The following is a 24,905-nucleotide window of genomic DNA, read 5'->3' as shown; positions in this document are numbered from 1 at the left end:
CCCAGGCAGGAAGGGCATTGAGCCAAAGAGGTGTTTTGTTTTGTTTTTTCCCTTGAGACAGAGTTTTGCTATTGTTGCCCAGGCTAGAGTGCAATGGCATGATCTTGGCTCACTGCAACCTCCATCTCCCGGATTCAAGCAATTCTCCTGCCTCAGCTTCCCAAGTAGCTGGGATTACAGGCATGTGCCACCACGCCCAGCTAATTTTATAATCTTAGTAGAGAAGGGGTTTCACCATGTTTCAGGCTGGTCTTGAACTCCTGACCTCAAGTGATCCACCCGCTTTGGCCTCCCAAAGTGCTGGGATTACAAGCATGAGCCACCATGCTTGGCCAATAAAGAGGTCATTCTCAAGCCTTAGATCTAATGGAATTTGTTTTGCTGGTTTTGGACTGGCTTGGGACCGTCACTCCTTTCTTTCAGATTTCTTCCTTGTGGAACAGGAATGTCTATCCTATGCATATACAACCACTACATTTTGGAAGCCCATACTTTGTCTGGTTTCACTTGTTTCATACCTGGAAAGGAACTTTGCCTCAGAATGAATCATACCTCAATGGTCACCCTTTCATGATTTAGATAATATTTAGATGACACTTTGGACTTCAGATCTACAGAATTAATGCTGGAATGAGTAACACTTTTGGGATTGTTGGGATGGAATGCATGTATTTCAAATGCAAGGACATGAACTTTGAGGGGCTAGGAGCAGAATATAATAAATGAAATGTTTGTGTCCCCCCAAAATTCATATATTGAAGCGATAAGCCCCAGTGTGGCTTTATTTTGAGATAGGGCCTCTTTGGCAGCAGGGAAGGTTCAATAAGGTAGTAGGAGTGGGCCCTGATCTAATAGAATATGTCTTTCAAATAAGAGATACTAGAGCACATGCTCTATCTCCCCATCCCCCACCCTGCAAGCCATGAGGAAGTGCCATGTGAGGATATAGTGAGAAGGCAGCAATCCAGAAGCCAGGAAGCACTTACCAGAAAGAGAATTTGCCAGCACCTTGATGATGGACTTCAAGCCTACAGAATTATGCAAAAATAAATGTCTGTTGTTTATGCCACCAAGTCTGTGGTATTTTGTTATGGCAGCCCAAGCAGATCAATACAGCATCTCAAACATGCCCAATCCTTGCCCACTCCCAATATATCCATGGGATCTTCAAAAATCCATACTAATGGAGAAAGAGACTGTCATCTCAGGAACTGAAGGAGAAAGAGTCTTGGCTGGTGGGAGCTTGAATTATTCCCAACTCTGTATGAGATCTGGGAAGTGTTTGTCTTTGAGTTCCCCAATAATTGCTCCTTTGGCAGCAGCTGTTCTTTGCCAAGCCTTAAAGAACATGACCCGTTGCATATGCAGATTGGTACTCAGATTTCTCAAATTGTCTCTGCTAGCTCCCTTTCCAGTATGCTAGTCCACATACTACAGCTGCCTTAAACTTCTTGAACTCTGAAATATTTATGCTTCAAAGAATAAGAATATGTTTGGAGTTATCTCTATCTATGCCATAGTCTAGGAATTTCCTTCTGACAAGAAGCTGTGCCAATCATAAGACTGGCCATATTTGCTTCCTTTCTTTCAAGAATCATGGTTGTGCAATTCCTAATATCCAAGTCTTAAAACAGTTGTTTCATACATTTTTCCAGTTTTCTAGTTATTTCATCTATCTTGGCCAGTTTGCCAGTTGTTTAAGACCACAAATACTGGAGAATGGGTGGAAGCAAAAATTCCTTTTATAGGTGGAAGCAAAAATCCTTTAAATAATTTTGTATTTAACTGTTGCATAGTTTATTATTCCATTTGGCTGACTCTGAGTTTACAGTCACACTATGTGGATTCTTTTTTAATAATAACTTTTTAATATAGAGACAGGGTCTCATCATGTTGCCTAGGCTGGTCTCAAAATCCTGGGCTCAAGCAATCCTCCTGCCTTGGTGCCTTCGTCTCCCAAGGTGCTGGGAATACAGGCATGAGCCACCATGTCTGGCCTCTCTGGATTCCTTACCGGGTAAGTAGTTTAGTAATAATGGTGTATTAGTCCATTATCACGCTGGTATAAAGAACTATATGAGACTGGGTAATTTATAAAGAAAAGAGGTTTAATTGACGCACAGTCCTGTCCCACATGGCTGAGGATGCCTAAGGAAACTTACAATCATGGCTGAAAGTGAAGGGGAAGCAAGGCACATCTTACCATGGCAGAGCAGGAGAGACAGAGAAAAGGGGTAAGTGCTACACTTTTAAACTATCAGATCTCATGAGAACTCACTATCACAAGAACGGCAAGGAGGAACTCCACCCCCATGATCTAATCACCTCCCACCCGGCCCCTCCCCTGACACATGGGGATTACAATTCAACATGAGATTTGTGTGGGCACACAGAGCCAAACCATATCAAATGCTAACACTTATTTATGTATGAGTAGAATGTAACAAGATTTCAACACATCAATTTACTCTCTACAAATATTTTATTTAAAATATACATTTTTTCTTATAGCTATAAAAAGAAAAACATTAAGTGTGGGAAATTTTAAACACATCATTAAAATTATTAAATTAAGGGCACATTTACATAAGATTATGATGAGTTCCTGTGACAAAATCAACACATATAATCTTTCTCTTATAAAGCACACTCGCAGAGGGCATTGCAAGATGGCCGAATAGGAACAGTTCTGGTCTGCAGCTCCCAGCATGATCAACGCAGAAGACGGGTGATTTCTGCATTTCCAACTGAGGTACCTGGTTCATCTCATTGGGACTGGTTGGACAGTGGGTGCAGTCCACAGAGGGTGAGCTAAAGCAGGGCAGGGTGTTGCCTCACCCGGGAAGCAAAAGGGGTCAGGGGATTTCCCTTTCCTAGCCAAAGGAAGCTGTGACAGACTACCTGGAAAAATGGGGCACTCTCACCTAAATACTGCACTTTTCCCAAGGTCTTAGCAACCGGCAGATATGGTGATTGTCTCCCGTGCCTGGTTTGGCAGGTCCCACGCCCACAGAGCCTTGCTCACTGCTAAGGCAGCAGTCTGAGATTGATCTGTGAGGCAGCAGCCTGGCTGGGGGAGGGGCGTCTGCCATTGCTGAGGCTTGAGTTGGTAAACAAAGTGGCCCGGAAGCTCAAACCGGGCACAGCCCACCACAGCTCAACAAGGCCTATTGCCTCTAGGCTCCATCTCTGTGCGCAAGGCGTAGCTGCACAAAAGGCAGCAGAAACTTCTGCAGACTTAAACGTCCCTGTCTGACAGCTGTGAAGAGAGCAGTGGTTCTCCCAGCACAGTGTTTGAGTTCTGAGAACGGACAGACTGCCTCCTCAAGTGGGTCCCTCACCCCCATGTAGCCTAACTGGGAGACACCTCACAGTAGGGGCCAACAGACACTTCGTATAGGTGGCTGCCCCTCTGGGACAAAGCTTCCAGAGGAAGGATCAGGCAACAATATTTGCTGTTCTGCAATATTTGCTGTTCTGCAGCCTCCACTGGTGATACCTAGGCAAACAGGGTCTGGAGTGGAACTCCAGCAAACACCAACAGACCTGCAGCTGAGGGACCTGACTGTTAGAAGGAAAACTAACAAACAGAAAGGAATAGCATCAACATCAACAAAAAGGTCATCTACACCAAAACCCCATCTGTAGGTCACCATCATCAAAGATCAAAGGTAGATAAAACCACAAAGATGCAGAGAAACTAGAACAGAAAAGCTAAAAATTCTAAAAATCAGAGTGCTTCTTCTCCTCCAAAGGATTGTGGCTCCTCGCCAGCAATGGAAAAAAGCTGGATGGAGAATGACTTTGACGAGTTGACAGAAGTAGGCTTCAGAAGGTCGGTAATAACAAACTTCTCGGAGCTAAAGGAGGATGTTCAAACCCATCGCAAGGAAGCTAAAAACGTTAAAAAAAAAATTAGACAAATGGCTAACTAGAATAAACAGTGTAGAGAAGACCTTAAATAACCTGATGGAGTTGAAAACCATGGCACGAGAACTTCGTGACGCATGCACAAGCTTCAATAGCCAATTCAATCAAGTGGAAGAAAGGGTATCAATGATTGAAGATCAAATTAATGAAATAAAGCAAGAAGACAAGGTTAGAGAAAAAAGACTAAAAAGAAACGAACAAAGCCTCCAAGAAATATGGGACTATGTGAAAAGACCAAATCTACATCTGATTGGTGTACATGAAAGTGACAAGGAGAATGGAACCAAGTTGGAAAACACTATTCAGGATATTATCCAGGAGAACTTCCCCAACCTAGCAAGGCAGACCAACATTCAAATTCAGGAAATAAAGAGAACACCACAAAGATACTCCGCGAGAAGAGCAACCCCAAGACACATAATTGTCAGATTCACCAAGATTGAAACAAACGAAAAGATGTTAAGGCAGCCAGAGAGAAAGGTCGAGTTACCCACAAAGGGAAGCCCATCAGAGAACAGACCTCTCGGCAGAAACCCTGCAAGCCAGAAGAGAGTGGGGGCCAATATTCAACATTCTTAAAGAAAAGAATTTTCAACCCAGAATTTCATATCCATCTAAGCTTCATAAGTGAAGGAGAAATAAAATCCTTTACAGACAAGCAAATGCTGAGAGATTTTGTCACCACCAGGCCTGCCTTACAAATGCTCCTGAAGGAAGCACTAAACATAGAAAGAAACAACCAGTACCAGCCACTGCAAAAACATGCCAAATTGTAAAGACCATCGATGCTATGAAGAAACTACATCAATTAATGGGCAAAATAACCAGCTAACATCATAATGACAGGATCAAATTCACACATAACAATATTAACCTTAGATGTAAATGGGCTAAATGCTCCAATTAAAAGACACAGACTGGCAAATTGGATAAAGAGTCAAGACCCATCAGTGTGCTGTATTCAGGAGACCCATCTCATGTGCAGAGACACATATAGGCTCAAAATAAAGGGATGGAGGAGATCTACCAAGCAAATGGAAAACAAAAAAAGGCAGGGGTTACAATCCTAGTCTCTGATAAAACAGACTTTAAACCAACAAAGATCAAAAGAGACAAAGAACCCCATTACATAATGGTAAAGGGATCAATTAAACAAGAAAAGCTAACTATCCTAAATATATGTGCACCCAATACAGGAGCATCCACATTCATAAAGCAAGACCTTAGAGACCTACAAAGAGACTTAGACTCCCACACAATAATAATGGGAGACTTTAACACCCCTCTGTCAATATTAGACAGATCAACAAGACAAAAGGTTAACAAGGATATGCAGGACCTGAACTCAGCTCTGCAACAAGCAGACCTAATAGACATCTACAGAACTCTCCAGCCCAAAGCAGCAGAATATACATTCTTCTCATCACCACATAGCACTTATTCTAAAAGTGACCACATAATTGGAAGTACAGCACTCCTCAGCAAATGTAAAAGAAATCACAACAAACTGTGTCTCAGATCACAGTGCAATCAAATTAGAACTCAGGATTAAGAAACTCACTCAAAACCACACAACTACATGGAAACTAAACAACTTGCCCTGGAATGACTACTGGGTAAATAACGAAATGAAGGCAGAAATAAAGATGTTCTTTGAAACCAATGAGAACAAAGACACAACATATCAGAATCTCTAGGACACATTTAAAGCAGTGTGTAGAGGGAAATTTACAGCACTAAATGCCCACAAGAGAAAGCAGGAAAGATCTAAAATCAACACCCTAACATCGCAATTAAAACAATCAGAGAAGCAAGAGCAAACAAATTCAAAAGGTAGCAGAAGGCAAGAAATAACTAAGATCAGAGCAGAACTGAAAAATATAGAGATACAAAAATACCCTTCAAAAAAATCAATGAATCCAGGAGCTGGTTTTTTTTAAAAGAGCAACAAAATCGATAGACCACTAGCAAGACTAATAAAGAAGAAAAGAGAAAAGAATCAAATAGACACAATAAAAAATGATAAAGGGGATATCACCACTGATCTAACAGAAATACAAACTACCACCAGAGAATACTATAAACACCTCTATGCAAATAAACTAGAAAATCTAGAAGAAATGGATAAATTCCTGGACACATACACTCTCCCAAGACTAAACCGGGAAGAAGTTGAATCTCTGAATAGACCAATAACAGGCTCTCAAATTGAGGCAATAATTAATAGCCTACCAACCAAAAAAAGTCCAGGACCAGACGGATTCACAGCTGAATTCTACCACAGCTAGAAAGACGAGCTGGTACCATTCCTTCTGAAACTATTCCAATCAATAGAAAAAGAGGGAATCCTCCCTAACTCATTTTATGAGGCCAGCATCATCCTGATACCAAAGCCTGGCAGAGACACAACAAAAAAAGAGAATTTTAGACCAATATCCCTGATGAACATCAATGCAAAAATCCTCAATAAAATACTGGCAAACTGAATCCAGTAGCACATTAAAAAGCTTATCCACCACGATCAAGTGGGCTTTATCCCTGGGATGCAAGGCTGGTTCAATATATGCAAATCAATAAACATAATCCATCACATAAACAGAACCAACAACAAAAAACCACATGATTATCTCAATAGATGCAGAAAAGGCCTTTGACAAAATTCAACAGCCCTTCATGCTAAAAACTCTCAATAAACTAGGTGTTGATGGAACATATCTCAAAATGATAAGAGCTATTTATGACAAACCCACAGCCAATATCATACTTAATGGGCAAAAACTGGAAGCATTCCCTTTGAAAACCAGCACAAGACAGGGATGCCCTCTCTCACCACTCCTATTCAACATAGTGTTGGAAGTTCTGGCCAGGGCAATCAGGCAAGAGAAAGAAAAAAAGGGTATTCAATTAGGATAAGAGGAAATCAAATTGTCCCTGTTTGCAGATGACATTATTGTATATTTAGAAAACCCCATCATCTCAGCCCAAAATTTCCTTAAGCTGATAAGCAACTTCAGCAAAGTCTCAGGACACAAAATCAATGTGCAAAAATCACAAGCATTCCTATACACCAATAACAGACAAACAGAGAGCCAAATTATGAGTGAACTCCTATTCACAATTGCTACAAAGACAATAAAATACCTAGGAATCCAACTTACAAGGGATGTGAAGGACCCCTTCAAGGAGAACTACAAACCACTGCTCAACAAAATAAGAGGACACAAACAAATGGAAGAATATTCCATGCTCATGGATAGGAAGAATCAATATTGTGAAAATGGCCATAATGCCCAAAGTAATTTATAGATTCAATGCCATCCCCATCAAGCTACCAATGACTTTCTTCACAGAATTAGAAAAAACTACTTTAAAGTTCATATAGAACCAAAAAAGAGCCCGCATTGCCAAGACAATCCTAAGCAAAAAAAACAAAGCTGGAGGCATCAAGCTACCTGACTTCAAACTATACTACAAGGCTACAGTAACCAAAACAGCATGGTACTGGTATCAAAACAGATATGTAGACCAATGGAACAGAACAGAGCCCTCAGAAATAACACCACACATCTACAACCATCTGATCTTTGACAAACCTGACAAAAACAAGAAATGGGGAAAGGATTCCCTATTTAATAAATGGTGCTGGGAAAACTGGCTAGCCATATGTAGAAAGCAGAAACTGGATCCCTTCCTTACACCTTATACAAAAATTAATTCAAGATGGATTAAAGACTTAAATGTTAGACCTAAAACCATAAAAAACCCTAGAAGAAAACCTAGGCAATGCCATTCAGGACATTGGCATGGGCAAGGACTTCATGACTAAAACACCAAAAGCAATGGCAACAAAAGCCAAAATTGACAAATGGGATCTAATTAAACTAAAGAGCTTCTGCACAGCAAAAGAAACTACCATCAGAGTGAACAGGCAACCTACAGAATGGGAGAAAATTTTTGCAATCTACCCATCTGATAAAGGGCTAATATCCAGAATCTACAAAGAAGTCAAACAAATTTACAAGAAAAAAAACAAACAACCCCATCAAAAAGTGGGCAAAGGATATGAACAGACACTTCTCAAAAGAAGACATCTGTCTGGGTGCGGTGGCTCATGGCTGTCATCCCAGCACTTTGGGAGGCTGAGGCGGGTGGATCACGAGGTCTGGAGATCGAGACCATCCTGGCTAACATGGTGAAACCCTGTCTCTACTAAAAATACAAAACAAAAAAAATTAGCTGGGCATGGTGGCAAGCGCCGGAGGCTAAGGCAGAAGAATGGCATGAACCCGGGAGGCAGAGCTTGCAGTGAGCCAAGATCACGCCACTGCACTCGAGCCTGGGCAACAGAGCAAGACTCCGTCTCAAAAAAAAAAAAAAAAAGAAGACATCTATGCAGCCAACAGACACATGAAAAAATGCTCATCACCACTGGTCATCAGAGAAATACAAATCAAAACCACAATGAGATACCATTCTTGCCAGTTAGAATGGCAATCATTAAAAAGTCGGGAAACAACAGATGCTGGAGAGGATGTGGAGAAATAGGAACACTTTTACACTGTTGGTGGGAGTGTAAATTAGTTCAAACATTGTGGAAGACAGTGTGGCGATTCCTCAAGGATCTTGAACTAGAATTACCATACGACCCAGCAATCCCATTACTGGGTATATACACCCAAAGGATTATAAATCATGCTACTATAAAGACATATGCACACATATGTTTATTGTGGCACTATTCACAATAATAAAGACTTGGAACCAACCCAAATGTCCATCAATGATAGACTGGATTAAGAAAATTTGGCACATGTACACCATGGAATACTATGCAACCATAAAAAATGATGAGTTCATGTCCTTTGCAGGGACATGGATGAAGCTGGAAACCATCATTCTCAAAAAACTATCACAAGGACAGAAAAGCAAACACCACATGTTCTCACTCATGGGTGGGAATTGAACAATGAGATCACTTGGACACAGGAAGGGGAACATCACACACCAGGGCCTGTCAGGGGATGGGGGGCTGGGGGAGGGATAGCATTAGGAGAAATACCTAATGTAAATGATGAGTTGATGGATGCAGCAAACCAACATGGCACATGTATACCTATGCATCAAACCTGCACATTGTGCACATGTACCCTAGAACTTAAAGTATAATAAAAAAAAAAAAGAAGAAATCCACTACAGAAGGAACCAAGGAATTTAAGCATCAAAATTCCCACCTGCCCCCCACCATTTTTTTGTGAGCCCAGGATGGCTTTGAACTCCCAGGCTCGAGCAATCCTCCCCAGTCAGCCTCCAGATAATTACAGGCATGAGCTACCAAGCCTGGTTCATCTTCTCTGATTTTTCTCAATGTCACTTGAGTCTTTTGTGGCCCACACTAGTTAGGGGAATAGCCTGATCATCTGGCCAGATCTAAACTGAAATATCTGATGAGGCAGCTATATTTGGAGGGGCTGACCTGAGATATAGAAGATTAAGATCTGGTACTGAGGATTCAGGCTTGTAAGGGAAAGCTTCGAATGCAAATTATATGCACCCTAATTTTTTTTAACCGATTCTTTCTTCTGGTTATAATTTACTTTTTTTGGAGATTGCATATATTTACACTTATTTGCTAGGTGCTTGTATTTCTTTTCTGAATTGCCTTTTCATCTTGATGGTGTATTTTTTGTTCAGTCACTTAGAATAAAAATTCAAGTGTGAAGAAAGAAAAATACTTTAAGGCTTAGAAATGTAACCTTTTGCTTTATTTTAGAAATTTTTATTTATATGATTATGCATTTCCTAGATACTAGTTCTTTCTGTTCAAGGCCATTTACTCCAACACCCAAGTGGATTTCTTGATTGCAGATTTATTACTATAGGATGTATTTGGGTAGAATTATTTCTTCCCATTATACTGGCCTTATTCACACTTCTGTGCTTTAACACAATGAAAAATTGCTTTAACATTGAAGTTCTGTATTGAGTCCCACAAGATATTATTCCCTTACAGCGCTTGTATTGTAAGCTGCAAACTGAACATTTGAAAAATCAAAATGAAAGCATGTAGCATAAAGGTCTGCCTTTTTTTTTTTTTTTTTTTTGAGACAGAGTCTCACTCTGTCGCCCAGGCTGGAGTGCAGCAGAGCGATCTCGGCTCACTGCAAGCTCCGCCTCCCAGGTTCACGCCATTCTCCTGCCTCAGCCTCCTGAGTAGCTGGGACTACAGGGACCCGCCACCACGCCTGGCTAATTTTTTTTGTACTTTTAGTAGAGACAGGGTTTCACCGTGTTAACCAGAATGGTCTCGATATCCTGACCTCGTGATCTGCCCACCTCGGCCTCCCAAAGTGCTGGGATTACAGGCGTGAGCCACGGCGCCCAGCCAAATGTCTGCCTTTGAAGGATAATGGCGTGCATGTAAGGTGCTGTTAAAAAGTATTGATTGCATTAGCAGCACCTTGATTTTAGCACAGAGGTCAGCAAATTAGTGGCTGTAGGCCAAGTCCAGCCCGCTGCCTGTCTTTGTAAGTACTTTTTTTTTAACCTTTAAGCTCTGTTGGACTTGAGTAAGTAAAGTTTTACGGAACACAGAAAATAAAATAAAATGAAATAAAAAATAAAAATAAAGCACACTCACACAACATTATGACACTTTGCATTTGTATTTGGTGTATTTATGACTATTCGACCTAATTGTGCTTTTTGAAGTTAGATTCCTAGTACACAGTATGTCTGTAACTGAATATTTTCAATAAAATTTTGGTATATCAGAAACAAGAATTTTAGTATAATATTTCTAAAGGAAGTTTTTAGTCTCAATTACCAAACTGACATTTCCAGTGAGCTAAAATCTCTCATGTATAACCAAAACTGAATCATTTTCAAAGTTACAACTTATTCAAAATATTCGTAAGATGTTTCAAATATCAAATATCTGCTGCTCACTAAGATGGCCCTTTATTTCTGGGCAAAATATTTCTCATACTTACAAAGTTTCTCCCCTTCACTGTTTTTAATGTAAACTGAGTAGGTTAAGTAAGAAAAGGTTTCTGGACTTTCAGAAGATGCTAACAGGGACTTCTCTCTGTACTTTCTCAGATTAGTGAATTCTGATAAAAGGCTCTCCACATTTGTAGATTCACAGGATTTCTGCCTTCTGTGTGTTTTCTGATGTGCTATAAGTGATGACTTCTGGTAGAAAGTCTTCTCACATTCATTACATTTGTAGGGTTTCTCTCCTGTGTGGGTTCTCTGATGTACTGTGAGGGATGACTTGTGGTAAAAAGTTTTGCTGCATTCATTATATTTATGAAGTTTCTCTCCTGAGCTCTTTGATGTTTAGTAAGTGCTGATTTCTGGTTAAATGTTTTGCTGCATTGAATACATTTATATGGCTTCTCTTTTTATGTCTTTTTTGATGTACAGTAAGGGATAACTTCTGGGAAAAACTTTTCCCACATGCATTACATTTATATGGTTTCTCCCCTGTGTGTGTTCTCTGATGTACTGTAAGAGATGACTTCTGGGAAAAGGTTTTCCCACATTCATTACATTCATAGGGTTTTTCCCCTGTGTGAGTTCTCTGATGCACAATAAGTTTTGACTTCACTGAGAAAGACTTCCCACATTCATTACATTCACAGGGCCTTTCTCCAGTATGAGTTCTCTGATGATAAGTGAAGTCTGGCTTTTGTGAGAATGTTTTCCCACATTCGTTACATTAATAGGGTCTTACACCTATGTGTATCCTTTGATGTACTATGAGGAATGAATTGTAAACAAAGGTTTTTCCACATTCTTTACCCTCATGGGATTTCTCCCCTGTGTGAGTTCTCTGATGTACTTGGAGATATGACTTCTCACAGAATTTTTTCCCACATTCACTACACTCATTGGGTTTATCACCTGTGTGTGTTCTCTGATGTACTGATGTACTGTAAGGACTGACTTATATCTAAAGGCTTCCCTTCAGATATAAGTCACATAACCTAATGACACTTTGCATTTGTATGTATCGAATGTGCATGACACATTCAATACATTCTTAGGGTTTTTGCCCTGTGTGTATCTGCCAATGAACTGTAAGGCCTGACCTATTTGTGAAGGTTTTCTCACATTCAGTACATTCATAAAGTTTCTCCCCTGTGTATATCCTATTATGTACTATGATAGATGAACTGTGGCTGAGAGCTTTCCCACACTCATTACATTCATAGAACTTTCCTCCTACGTGTGTTTGCTGATGTTTAGGGAGAACTGACATATGCCAAAAAGAACTCCCATAATGACTATTTTGAAAGGTTTTCTTTTCTGCGTATGTATGCTGTTGAGAGAGACTTGGTTTCTTAAAGATTTCCCTACCTTCATTACATTCAAAGCTTGTTTTTCCTTTTTGAGTTCTTTCAGTGTCAATAAAGAGTGACTTTTGCCAAAATTATTCTCACACTCATAGTATTTTTTCCCCATGATTCCTCCATGGTGTTTATTTAGAGATTTCTCACCAACAGACCTCCTCCCACAGCAATTAAACTCGTAGTGATTTTCCCTTCTGTGAGTACTCTGATGAACAAGGAGGTTTGGATTGTCAGAAAAGGCTCTTAGTTGTTCATTATATTCACAAGGTTTCTCCCAGAAGCACACTCTCTTATGGGTACTGAAGGCTGCCTCCTCATGAAAAGCTTTCCCACACTCAAGGTATTCAAAAATTTGCTTCAGAGTTTGAATATCCTGATGCTGAAATAAGTCCTCATTCTAACAGATGGCTTTCTCATTTCTGTCACACTCAAAATGTTTCTCTCTGGCATAAGGATGCTCATGTCATATGAAGGAGCAATTTCGCATGTGCACTGAGCTCATCAAGCTTCCTTCCAAAGGAGTTTCTATTACTAACAATTAATTCTGAAATATAATTCACGTTCATTATACATAAGTCATATTTATCAGGTATTTTTCTCATTGGAACAAGGTTTGAATTTATATTAAATGTTTCTCCTAAAACACTATTTCTGTCTTCCATCAGTATTTTGTTGTTGACAAAACCAGCTTTCCTCAAATGCTGGTCTTGGTTTTCCTGGTTCTTCTCCATCAGGTCAACTTTCCAGAATTCTAGAAATGAGAATAGTTTACCATATCTTATAAATATTAACACATTTCATGTGGAAAGGGGATGTAACATGCAAATGCTCTAGGATAGCCCAGGCATCTGGTCTGAAAGTAATCCTGAAGGCATACATCTCACTCCCTTAGGATTAGACAAAACAAACTGAATATGAAAAAAGGAGAGGAATCTGCAAATAAAAACACAGTAATCTGGCACTTTAGAAATGTGACCTTCAAAACTGGATAAAGTGGAATAAACAAATACAGCAAATGGTATTTTAGGATGAATGGTAGAGGCATGAAGGGGAATCATCGAAAGCATTGAATAGTAGGTAAAATTGCCAGAAAAAAAATCAGGTGATAGTGTTTGAGGGGTGACGGCAAAGAAAAAATTAAGTTTGGAGGAGGCAAATGTAGGTTTTTATCTCCTGCTGTAAAATACTCACTAATACATATGTTTCCAATGCATCACTAATTCTTTTCTTTGTTTTTATTTTTTTTATTTTTTGTTTTTTGAGACAGAATCTAGCTCTTTGCCCAGGCTGGATTGCAATGGCACAATCTTGGCTCATTGCAACCTCCACCTCCCAGGTTCAAGTGATTCTCCTGCCTCATCCTCTCAAGTAGCTGGGATTACAGGCACCCGCCACCGTGCCTGGCTGATTTTTGTATTTTTAGTAGAGACAGGGTTTCGCCATCTTTGCCAGGCTGGTCTCGAACTCCTGACCTCAGGTAAACCTACCACCTCAGCCTCTCAAAGTGCAGAGATTACAGGCATGAGCCACCGCACCCTAAGGTCCTAGCAGGTGTTGCTCTATCTCTGATTTCTTTTAAATTATCTGAATGAGTAGTAAATCAGTGGACACATACTAGCAAGTGGTATTTGTATTTTTAGTAGAGATGGGATTTCACCATATTGGCCAGGCTGGTCTCAAACTCCTGATTTCAAGTGATCTGCCCACTTCAGCCTTCCAAAGTGCTGGGATTACAGGCATGAGCCACTTTGCCTGGCTCTTCTTTTCTCTTCCACTCATCAACACCAAATTACAATTTCAGACAGCAATAATTTTCCATGTGCAAAAGAAAACTCCTATTGCCCAGACAGTAATTCTTACTCTAGCTGATTCACACCAAAAGCCAATGTCCAGAGAAAGCATACATGTAGGCTATGGAAACAAGATCAGGTATGTAGTTTTATTCTGCTGTTGTATCTTCATTTTCTTTTACCACAGTTGTCATTAATGAACCTGTCATAGCCATCAAATCATAAAATTTCCCTATTTATCAATTTATTTCATAAACAGTCTTGTACCTCACACAACTCTTTTTGTATATATAAAGTCATCCTTTACTTTTCATATACATATAATATATAATATATACGTGTGTATATATTACATATATGAATATACATATATAATTTTTTAACCATTTATTTATTTCAGCATGTCTGGTTTCTCTTTCCAGTGTGAGCTTTAAAGACCATAGTTTTCAACCTAATCTTAGAATCTTTACTGATCTTCATACAGTTAATCCTCATTATTCATGGATTTTGTGACAACAAATTCATCTACTCATTAAAACTTATTTGTAAACCCAAAATCAAGACTCTTGGTGCTTTCATTGTCAAGAACATGCACTGAGCACTTAAAAACTTCAGTCACCCAGCACACATATTCCCAGGTGAAACTGAACAAGGCCATGCTCTAGCTTCTTGTTTCAGTTCTCATACTATAAACAAGTGCCCGTCCCTGGTACTGTTAGTGCCACATTTTTCAGTTTTGTGGGTTTTGCTGGTGATTTCACTGTTTAAAATAGTCCGCTAGTGTAGGACTGAAGTACTGTCTCTCGTGTTCCTAAGTGCAAGAAGGCTGTGATGTGCCTGTGGAGAATATATGTGTGTTAAATTAGCTTTATTCATGAGATGTAGTGCCATTGGCCATAAATTCAATATTAATAAATCAGCTATATATATGGGTATATTTTTAAAAATAAACCCATATTAAAAAGGATTATGTATGGATTAGCTAACAAAAATGTGGGCAGAGGCTGGCAGGAACTAACCCTGTATTTCATCTGGGAGCAATGATTCAATATTCATTAATTCAGTGCTTGTGGTAACTTTCCAGAACATGAATACCATGAATCATGATAATCAACCATATCTTTTTATTATGAAGCTTCCTCTGACAACTATCACCCTGTTCTTACCCAGATTCAACACAATATTAACAATACTATGGTCAAAAACCTACCACATCCCTGAGCCTAGTGTCCCAAAGGACTAAGAAACAAAACAGATAAAGTCGACACTCACAGACCAGATCTGACAAATGGATTCTATTTGCTATTGGCAACTGTCACTCCTTATTACCACAGTCACCATCCTCTGCTGTCCACAATCCAAACCATCTTTCCTCCATAATTGCTCATCCCCAACCACAGACCTGCGTTATAAGCATCCACTTGGGTACTGGGCCTTTCAATGTTAGCCTACTCAGCAGCTGGATGCCTTCAAGAAATAGCTATTATCCCATAATATCCCAAAAAATCTTCATAAATCTTTACAGTTAAAAGGTGGTGATATTAACTTTATCACTTTGTATGTCACTGCTCTATAACAAATATTTCTTTCTAACTGTTTAACTTTAAAATATTTTCATGCTGGTTTTGTTCTTTTGCCACAAATGCACCCTAAGGTCCTAGCAGTGTTGCTCTATCTCCGATTTCTTTTAAATTATCTGAATGAGTAGTAAATCAGTGGACACATACTAGTAAGTTGCATGCATCACAATTTCTTGGAAGGCTATTTCAAAACACAAACCTTAAACTTCTTGCCAATTTACACCCAATAATCAAGCTGAATATATTCACCTTAGCATGTCTACTTAAAAAGAGTTCCTTGGTTTTCTGTGTGAATAAATGTAAAAGAGTACTCACAACCCAGGCCATACAATCAACAAAGAAATATCTACTGCATCTTACCTAGTAAAGGAAGGAAGAGTGAAAGAGGGATCTTTCTCTCTGGGGGTAGAAAAATTTAAGTGGAAAAAAAAAACTAGTCAAGAACTTAATCTGGTCAGGTATCAGATAATCAGGTATTAGATAGTCTAATATTAGATTAACATACAGTCATTTTGTGTACATGAATAATGCAGCTAATGGATATTTCACACAAAAAAATAGCAAACTTCAGCTGTAACCTAAAATGTATGTAACAAGAACAACAGCAATAAGACTTTATTATATATGCAAGGTACTGCTTTAACCACTTTTCACTTATTCATTCATTTAACCATCTGGACAGGAAAGATACACACTAGAATGAAAAGGGCAAACAAGATAAGGAGCACTACATGTTTGAAAGACATCTAGGTGACTTTACCAAATGGAGTTAGGCAGGGTTTGGGGCAACAGAGAAAAATAAATTTGGTCAGGCTAAATGTGGCCACACGTGAGGCTTGTTAAAGAACTAACATTTTAGGCCAGGCACAGTGGCTCACGCTGTAATCCCAGCACTTTGGGAGGCCAAGATAGGCGGATCACAAGGTCAGGTGTTCGAGACCAGCCTGGCCAATATGGTAAAACTCCGTTTCTACTAAAAATACAAAACTTAGCTGGGTGTGGTGGCGGGCACCTGTAGTCCCAGCTGCTTGGGAGGCTGAGGCAGAAGAAATGCCTGAACCTGGGAGGTGGAGCTTCTAGTGAGCCAAGATCGCACCAGTGCAATCTGGCCTGGGCAACAGAGCAAGACTCCATCTCAAAAAAAAAAAAAAAACTTACATTTTAGGTGTTAGGTAAGAGGAGAGAAATCATAGATTTATCCTGCCAGGCTAGTAACAAGGTAAATCAGAAGTTTGAAGTTTTACATTTTAAGTCTAATTCTATCATGAATTAGATTAATCAGAGCAAGATCATAACAAATATATGGATCTGCTTGTGGGTGATGTCAGTAGAAAGTAAGAATAAGAAGGTATTTTGAAGACACTTTATAAAAGTGAAACAAGAACTGCAAAACAACAGTAAGAGTGTGATAATGTATGGTGGCTCACACTTGTAATCCCAGCCACTCAGGAGACTGAGGCAGAAGAAACATTTGAGCCCAGGAGTCCAGGACCAGCCTGGGCAGCACAGCAAGACCCCATCTCAAAAAAAAAATTTTTGAGAGAGCTAGAAGATTTAAAGTGGTTTCATTTTTGTCAGTTATAGTAGACCTAATGAATTAAAAATGTCAAGTGATGAATTAAAAATATGAAGTGAAAATTTTAAATTTGTGAGATATAATTTTACTTTTTAGCTTTTGCTGTATTGAGAAAGTTAGAATTAAAACCCAAGAAGAATTTAACGTAAGTAGGTAAAATACTGTAGGAGTCTAGAGCAAACGGGACAAGTGAGAAAGTGATAAAATTTGAGAATCACAAGCTTTAAGTCTTGAGAATGTATAAGAGAGTTGTGAATAATGTTTTGAGAGAATTGCTGTAAGAGAGAACAGAAGGTCCATAGGGTAGTTTTTGAAGATGCATAGAAGAGCCCTGGGAATCGCCATCCATCCATCTAATAGATATGTTATTATGGGACAATTGTGTGCCAGGCTTCATGCCAGAAACAGAGTATGATGGTCTGAGCAGGGCAGACAAGAGGTGGATAAGCACTTCAAGATTGAGTGCTTATCAATCTTGATAGATAAGGGGCAATATGGCAAGATGGTCATCAAAAGGGGCATCAGAAAGGGGCAATATGGCAAGATGGTCATCAAAAACATAAACTTTAGAGGTGTCCCCCTTTATGGCCAATGAAGACAGTCTGGGAACCTGTGTGGCACTGGCATATGAAGTGCTATACCTAGGGGACATAAATTCAGTCAATGTCTGTAGCAATAGTGATACACGGCGGGGTATCCATTTGCTCCTTTGTAACTTAAATCAGAGAACTCCCAACTAAACCAGCTGCTTGGGGCCTAGATGGGAGGTAGAACTTTCATTGAATGCCTTTTCCAAAAGCTCACCACTGTGTATTCTGCGAAGTGCCTTGGTCACTATCAGTAATGTCTGGTCAGAAAGGTGTGTTCAGGTGAGGTCCTGTATTGTGGCCTTGACACCTGTTACTTTGATTTTTATTCTGGGTATCTGTGAGGCAAGAGATTCCCAGAGATCTTTACCCCAAAGGGGGCAACTCTTAGGCAATGGCCTAAAAATGTAGTGAGAGTATCATTTTTTGGCCAGGTTTAGGACATCCAGTGCTAGGACGACTGCCTGAAAGTGGCCACTGGTGCTGACCCTTGGTCAGGAGCATCCTGAATAAAGGATGGAAAGCAGCAACATTCCACCGAGCTCCAGCATGTATAGTCTAGAAACTCCTATTTCTGTTCAGTTAATCTCACAGGGATCCTCAGGTAGCCAAGGACCTCCTCCAGTACCATGGTATTTGCCAAGAAACTGAGAACAAAGAAAGCCACCCCTCCCACAGATGGAGTATGCCAGAGGGCTCGGGTGTGGCTCCATCCTACATCAAGGAGGTTTTGGTAGCTGTGCCAAACTTGCAGCGCCCTGCTTCTGTGACCCAAGGAACAATGGGCAGCTGGTATGGAGGGTCACAAGCTCAGGACCTGTAAAAGCCTCTATTTCCAAGAGACCCCAGTATGTGACCAACAGTTGCTGCTCTAATGATGTACAGTGCAATGTCAAAGAGGGCAGTTTCTTGCGTCAGGGGCTCATGGGCAATTTGTGGCCACCATGAGTTATGAGAGAAGGCTGCTAAAGCCCCTATGGTAAAGGAGTCTTTGAGGAGACTCATGGGATTCCTGTCATATTGCAATGTGGACAGATTCTAAAGCCTTTTGTTGAAGGGAATCCATCCAAGGTGGGCCAACTTGCAAGTAACAGCATCAGTGAAATTAAGTAAAACTTGTAAATGAGGAATATGTCACCTCTAGATCTCAAAGAGGACTGAAAGATATTTGTATTAACATTGTGTGTACTGAGAAAGTCAATAGCTGTTTCTTGATGGTGTCAGGGATGAAATGGCCCTCAGATTACCAAATAACTTTCAGGAATTTAACAGAGGTGGCAAGACCCCTCACACAACGTGTGGAGACCACTTTTTGTGTGCTCCTTTTTCAGTACTTGTATGTCCTGAATTAGTGTGTCAAAAGTATCTTCTCAGAAGATGTCATCAATGTAATATGATAGTTGTCCTCTTAGAGAAATTTGGACGCAGTTGAGATCTTGCCTACAAAGACTATGTGATGACAAGGCTGCTACGGTACCCCATGGATAACCTGGTAGAGGCATACTGTGTCCCTTTAGAGATGAAGGAAAACTACAGCCTAGAGGCTGTTGAAATAGGCTCTGAACAGGGCATATTAGCCATGTGATGGTTAATACCAGGTGTCAACGATTGGATTGAAGGATACAAAGTATTGATCCTGAGTGTATCAGTGAGTGTGTTGCCAAAGGAGGCTAACATTTGAGTCAGTGGGCTGGGAAAGGCAGACACACCTTTAATCTGGGTGGGGCACAATCTAATCAGCTGCCAGCATGACTAGAATATAAGCAGGCAGAAAAATGTGAAAAAGACTGGCCTAGCCTCCCAGCCTACATCTTTCTCCCGTGCTGGATGCTTCCTGCCCTCAAACATCAGACTCTTCAGTTTTGCAATTTGGACTGGCTCTCCTTGCCCCTCAGCATGCAGACAGCCTGTTGTGGGACCTCGTGATGATGTGAGTTAAGACTTAATAAACCCCTCTATACATATATATGTGTACACACACACAAATACACATATTCCATTAGAGTTCTGTCCCTCTAGAGAACCGTAATACAGATTTTGGTACCAGGAGTTGTTCTAGAGGAAGAGAATATTAAGTATGAAGGTCTTTCATTGGTTTTGGAGTTTCTGGAGTTAGCTGCTTGCTATGATTAGACCCAAAAATGCCAAGGACTCTACTTCTAATAGTATGAAAAACACTGATAGTCCTTGGCATGAACTGTTTAGATAGTTATGCAAAATAAACGCATTTGACACTCCTGATTCATTGCTCATGACAGGCAAGGAGTTTAGTAACCCTATATATACCTTTGACCATATGTGGAGAACCAAGGAACATAATGAAGCTGGTTGGTTGCTCCTACATTCAGTGGACAAAGTGGTGAAAGAAAATGATGAACTAGGCTGGGCACGGTGGCTTATGCCTATAATCCCAGCACTTTGAGAGGCCAAGGCGGGCGGATCACGAGGTCAGGAGATCAAGACCATCCTGGCCAACATGGTGAAATCCCGTCTACTAAAATACACACACACAAAAAAAATTAGATGGGTGTGGTGGTGCGCCCTGTAGTCCCAGCTACTCAAGAGGCTGAGGCAGGGGAATCACTTGAACCCTGGAGGCAGAGGTTGCAGTGAGCCGAGATTGCACCGCTGCACTCCAGCCTGGCGGCCGAGCGAGACTCCGTCAAAAAAAAAGAGAAAATGAACTCAGGGATTCTCTCTCCCAGCTTCAGAAGCAGATACTGAGATTCAAATCTGCTAAGATTGCCCTGAGTGAGTCTTATCTCCTGTAGAGAAAGAGCGAAAATTGTGGAAAAACAGACACAAGCTCTTACCATGAGAGTGGCTGACATGCAACAAAAGGTGAATGCACAGCCACGCTAGGTATCTATTGCAAAAGTAAGGGCATTGATTGGAAAAGAATAGGACCTGCAACTTGGAATGGTGATGTGTGGGAGGACCCTGATGAAGCTGAGGACACTGAGTTTGTAAACTCTGATGAATCTTTTTTGCCAGAAGAAACAGCTTCCCCATCCCTGGTAGTGGCAACATCCCCTCCCTGACCCATGCTGCCATCAGCCTTTCCACCTTTGTCTGAGGAGATAAACCCTGTGCTGCCTGAGGCAATGGTGATGGTTGCCAGGCAAGATAATGTTGATTTTCCTCAGGAGCCACCCCCAACACCCGTTTGCTTCTAGACCTATAACTAAAGTCCCAACAGGCCCCTAGAGGTGAGGTTGAGAGTATGCACTACACTCAAAAGGAACTGCTTGAGTTTTCTAATTCATATAAATAAATCTGCAGAACAGGCATGGGAATGGATATTAAGGGTGTGGGATAATGGTGGAAAGAACACAAAGTTTGATCAGGCTGAATTTATTGATTTGAGTCCACTAAGTACGGACTCTGCATTCAATGTTGCCACTTGGGTAGTTAAAAAAGGTTCTAATAGTTTATTTGCTTGGTTAGCTAAAATACAGATAAGAAGATGATCCACTGTGAGCAAGCTGGATATGCCTCATCTCCCTTGGTTTAACGTAGAGGAAGGGATACAAAGGCTTAGGGAGATTGGGATGGTGGAGTGGATTAGTCACTTTAGACCTACTCATCCCAGCTGGGAGGGCCCAGAAGATATACCCTTGACCAATGCCTTGTGAAACAGATTTGTGAGGGCAACACCTGCATCTTTGAAGAGCCCTCTAATTGCTCTTCTCTGTATGTCAGATCTAACAGTGGGAACTGCAGACACTCAACTACAAAATTTAAATATAATGGGAATAATTGGATCCCAAGGTGGCAGGGGCCAAGTGGCAGCACTCAACCATCAAAGGCAAGGTGGGCGTGGCTACTCTGATGGACAGCAGAGGCAAAGTGGCAATCAGAAGATCCTGACTAATGTAGAGCTCTAGCATTGGCTAATCATGGTGTTCCTACAAGTGAAAGTGATAGGAAGCCTACTGCATTCCTACTTAATTTATATAAGCAGAAAATTTCTAAGTCGAAGGGACAAAAGTCTAATTTGAATTATAAAAACAGAGAATCAGCCAGCACAGTGGCTCACACCTATAATCCCAGCACTTTGGGAGGCCAAGGCAGGTGGATCACCTGAGCTCAGGAGTTCAAGACTAGCCTGGCCAACATGGTGAAACCCCATCTGTACTAAAAATACAAAAATTAGCCAGGCATGGTGGCACAAACCTGTAATCCCAGCTACTCAGGAGGCTGAGGCTGGAGAATTGCTTGAACCCAGGAAGTGGAGGTTGCAGTGAGTCGAGATCACACCAATGCATTCCAGCCTGAATGACAGAGGGAGACTCTGTCTCAAAAACAAACAACAAAAACAAACAAAAAAACAAACTAGAGAATCACAACCCCTCAATCAATTTCCAGACTTGAGCCAGTTTACAGATCCAGAACCCCTTGAATGAAGGGGAGACCAGGTCCCCTTGAGGAAGAACCCTACTACATTACCGACAATTTACATAGTGACTCTTTCTCCCATCCTTCCACAAGGAGACCTCCAACCTTTTACCAGGGTAACTGTGCACTGGGGAAAGTGAAATGATCAGACATTTCGGGGACTGCTGGACACTGGCTCTGAGCTAACGATTCCAGGGGACCCAAAACATCACTGGTCCTACAGTTAAAGTAGGGGCTTATAGAGATCAGGTAATTAATGAAATTTTAGCTCAGGCCCAACTTACAGTGGGTCCAGTGGGTCCCCGGACTTACCCTGTGGTCATTCCTGAGTGCCAGAATGCATAATTGGCATAGACATACTTAGCAGCTGGCAGAACTCCCATATTGGCTCCCTGACTGGTAGGATAAGGGCTATTATGGTGGTAAAGGCCAAATGAAAGCCATTAGAGCTGCCTTTACCTAGAAAAATAGTAAATCAAAAACAATATCACATCCCTGGAGAGACTGTGGAGATTAGTGCTACTACCAAGGACTTGAAAGACGCTGGGGTGGTGATTCCCACCACATCCCCATTCAGCTCTCCCATTTAGCCTGTGCAGACGACAGATCTTGGAGAATGACCATGGATTATTGTAAGCTTAACAAAGTGGTGACTCCAATTGCAGCTGCTGTACCAGATGTGGTTTCATTGCTTGAGCAAATTAGCACATTTCCTGGTAGGTGGTATGCAGCCATTGTCTTGGCAAATGTCTTTTCCTCCATTCCTGTCCATAAGGCCCACCAAAAGCAATTTGCCTTCAGCTGGCAAGGCCAGCAATATACCTTTACTGTCCTACCTCCAGGGTATATCAATTCTCTGGCTTTGTGTCATAATCTTATTCGGAAGCACCTTGATCGCTTTTTCTTATTTGGAGACACCTTGATCACTTTTCGCTGCCGCAAGATATCACACTGGTCCATTACATTGATGATATTATGCTGACTGGATCCAGTGAGCAAGAAGTAGCAAACACACTGGACTTACTGGTGAGACATTTGTGTGCCAGAGGATGAGAAATAAAACTGACTTAAATTCAGGGAACTTCTACCTCAGTAAAATTTCTAGGGGTCCAGTGGTGTGGGGCCTGTTGAGATATTCCTTCTAAGGTGAAGAATAAGTTGCTGCATTTGACCATTCCTTCAACCAAGAAAGGCACAATGCCTAGTAGGCCTATTTGGATTTTGGAGGCAAAGCATTCCTCATCTGGGTGTGTTACTCCAGCCCATTTATCAAGTGACCCGAAAGGCTGTCAGTTTTGAGTGGGGTCCAGAACAGAAGAATGCTCTGCAATAGGTCCAGGCTGCTGTGCAAGCTGCTCTGCCACTTGAGCCATATGACCCAACAGATCCAATGGTGCTGGAGGTGTCAGTGACAGACAGGGTGCTGTTTGGAGCCTTTGGCAGGCCCCCATAGGTGAATCACGATGGAAGCTTCTAGGATTTTGGAGCAAGGCCCTGCCATCTTCTGCAGATAACTACTCTCCTTATGAGAGACAGTTCTTGGCCTATTACTGGGCTCTGGTGGAAACTGAAGGTTTGACTATGGGTCATCAAGTCACCTGGCAACCTGAACTGCCTATTATGAACTGGGTGCTTTCTGACTCATATAGCCATAAAGTGGGTCATGCGCAGCAGCATTCCATCATCAAACGGAAGTGGCATATATGTGATCAGGCTCGAGCAGGTCCTGAAGGCACAAGTGAGTTACATGAGGAAGTGGCTCAAATGCCCATGGTCTCCACTCCTGCCACCATGCCTTCTCTCCCCCAGCCTGCACCGATGGCCTCATGGGGAGTTCCCTATGATCAGTGAACAGAGGAAAAGAGGACTAGGGCCTGGTTCACAGATGATTCTGCACGATATGCAGGCATCACCTGAAAGTGGACAGCTGCAGCACTACAGCCCCTTTCTAGGACATCTCTGAAGGACAGCGGTGAAGGGAAATCTTCCCAGTGGGCAGAACGTTGAGCAGTGCACCTGGTTGTGCACTTTACATGGAAGGAGAAATGGCCACATGTGCGATTATATATTGATTAATTGGCTGTAGCCAATGGTTTGGCTGGATGGTCAGGGACTTGGAAGAAGCATTACTGGAAAATTGGTGACAAACTTGGGGAAGAGGTGTGTGGATGGATCTCTCTCAGTGGTCAAAAACTGTGAAGATATTTGTATCCCATGTGAGTGCTCACCAACAGGTGACCTCAGCAGAGGAGGATTTTAATAATCAAGTGGATAGGATGACCCGTTCCGTGGACAGCACTCAGCCTCTTTCCTCAGCCACCCCTGTCGTCGCCTAATGGGCCCATGAACAAAGTGGCCATGGTGGCAAGAGTGGAGGTTATGTATGGGCTCAGCAACATGGACTTCCACTCACCGAGGCTGACCTGGCTATGGTCACTGATGAGTGCCCTATTTGCTAGCAGCAGAGACCAACACTGAGCCCTTGATATGGCACCATTCCTCGGGTGATCAGCCAGCTACCTGGTGGCAGGTTGATTATATTGGACCTCTTCCATCATGGAATGGACAGAGGTTTGTCGTCATTAGAATAGACACTTACTCTGGATATGGGTTTGCCTATCCTGCACACAATGCTTCTGCCAAGACTACCATCTGTGGACTCACAGAATGCCTTATCCACCATCACAGTA

The 24,905-nt window shown here is 41.3% G+C and overlaps 1 protein-coding gene and 1 pseudogene across 1 annotated transcript in view; both read right to left on the bottom strand.

Moving 5' to 3' along the window:
- On the bottom strand, positions 11,173 to 13,036 carry LOC100130881 (zinc finger protein 12 pseudogene; annotated as a pseudogene).
- The window catches only part of ZNF487 (zinc finger protein 487), an 87,047-nt gene continuing 74,524 nt past the window's right edge, over positions 12,383 to 24,905 (bottom strand). The window contains exon 9 of the transcript XR_007061981.1: positions 12,383 to 13,035. The gene's annotated coding sequence lies outside the window, so the exon portion shown is untranslated. The remainder of the gene's footprint in view (positions 13,036 to 24,905) is intronic.

The sequence above is a fragment of the Homo sapiens genome, chromosome 10, assembly GCF_000001405.40.
Source record: "Homo sapiens chromosome 10, GRCh38.p14 Primary Assembly".
In the NCBI taxonomy this organism is placed as follows: Eukaryota; Metazoa; Chordata; class Mammalia; order Primates; family Hominidae; genus Homo; species Homo sapiens.
This window is presented reverse-complemented; position numbering and strand designations above follow the sequence as displayed.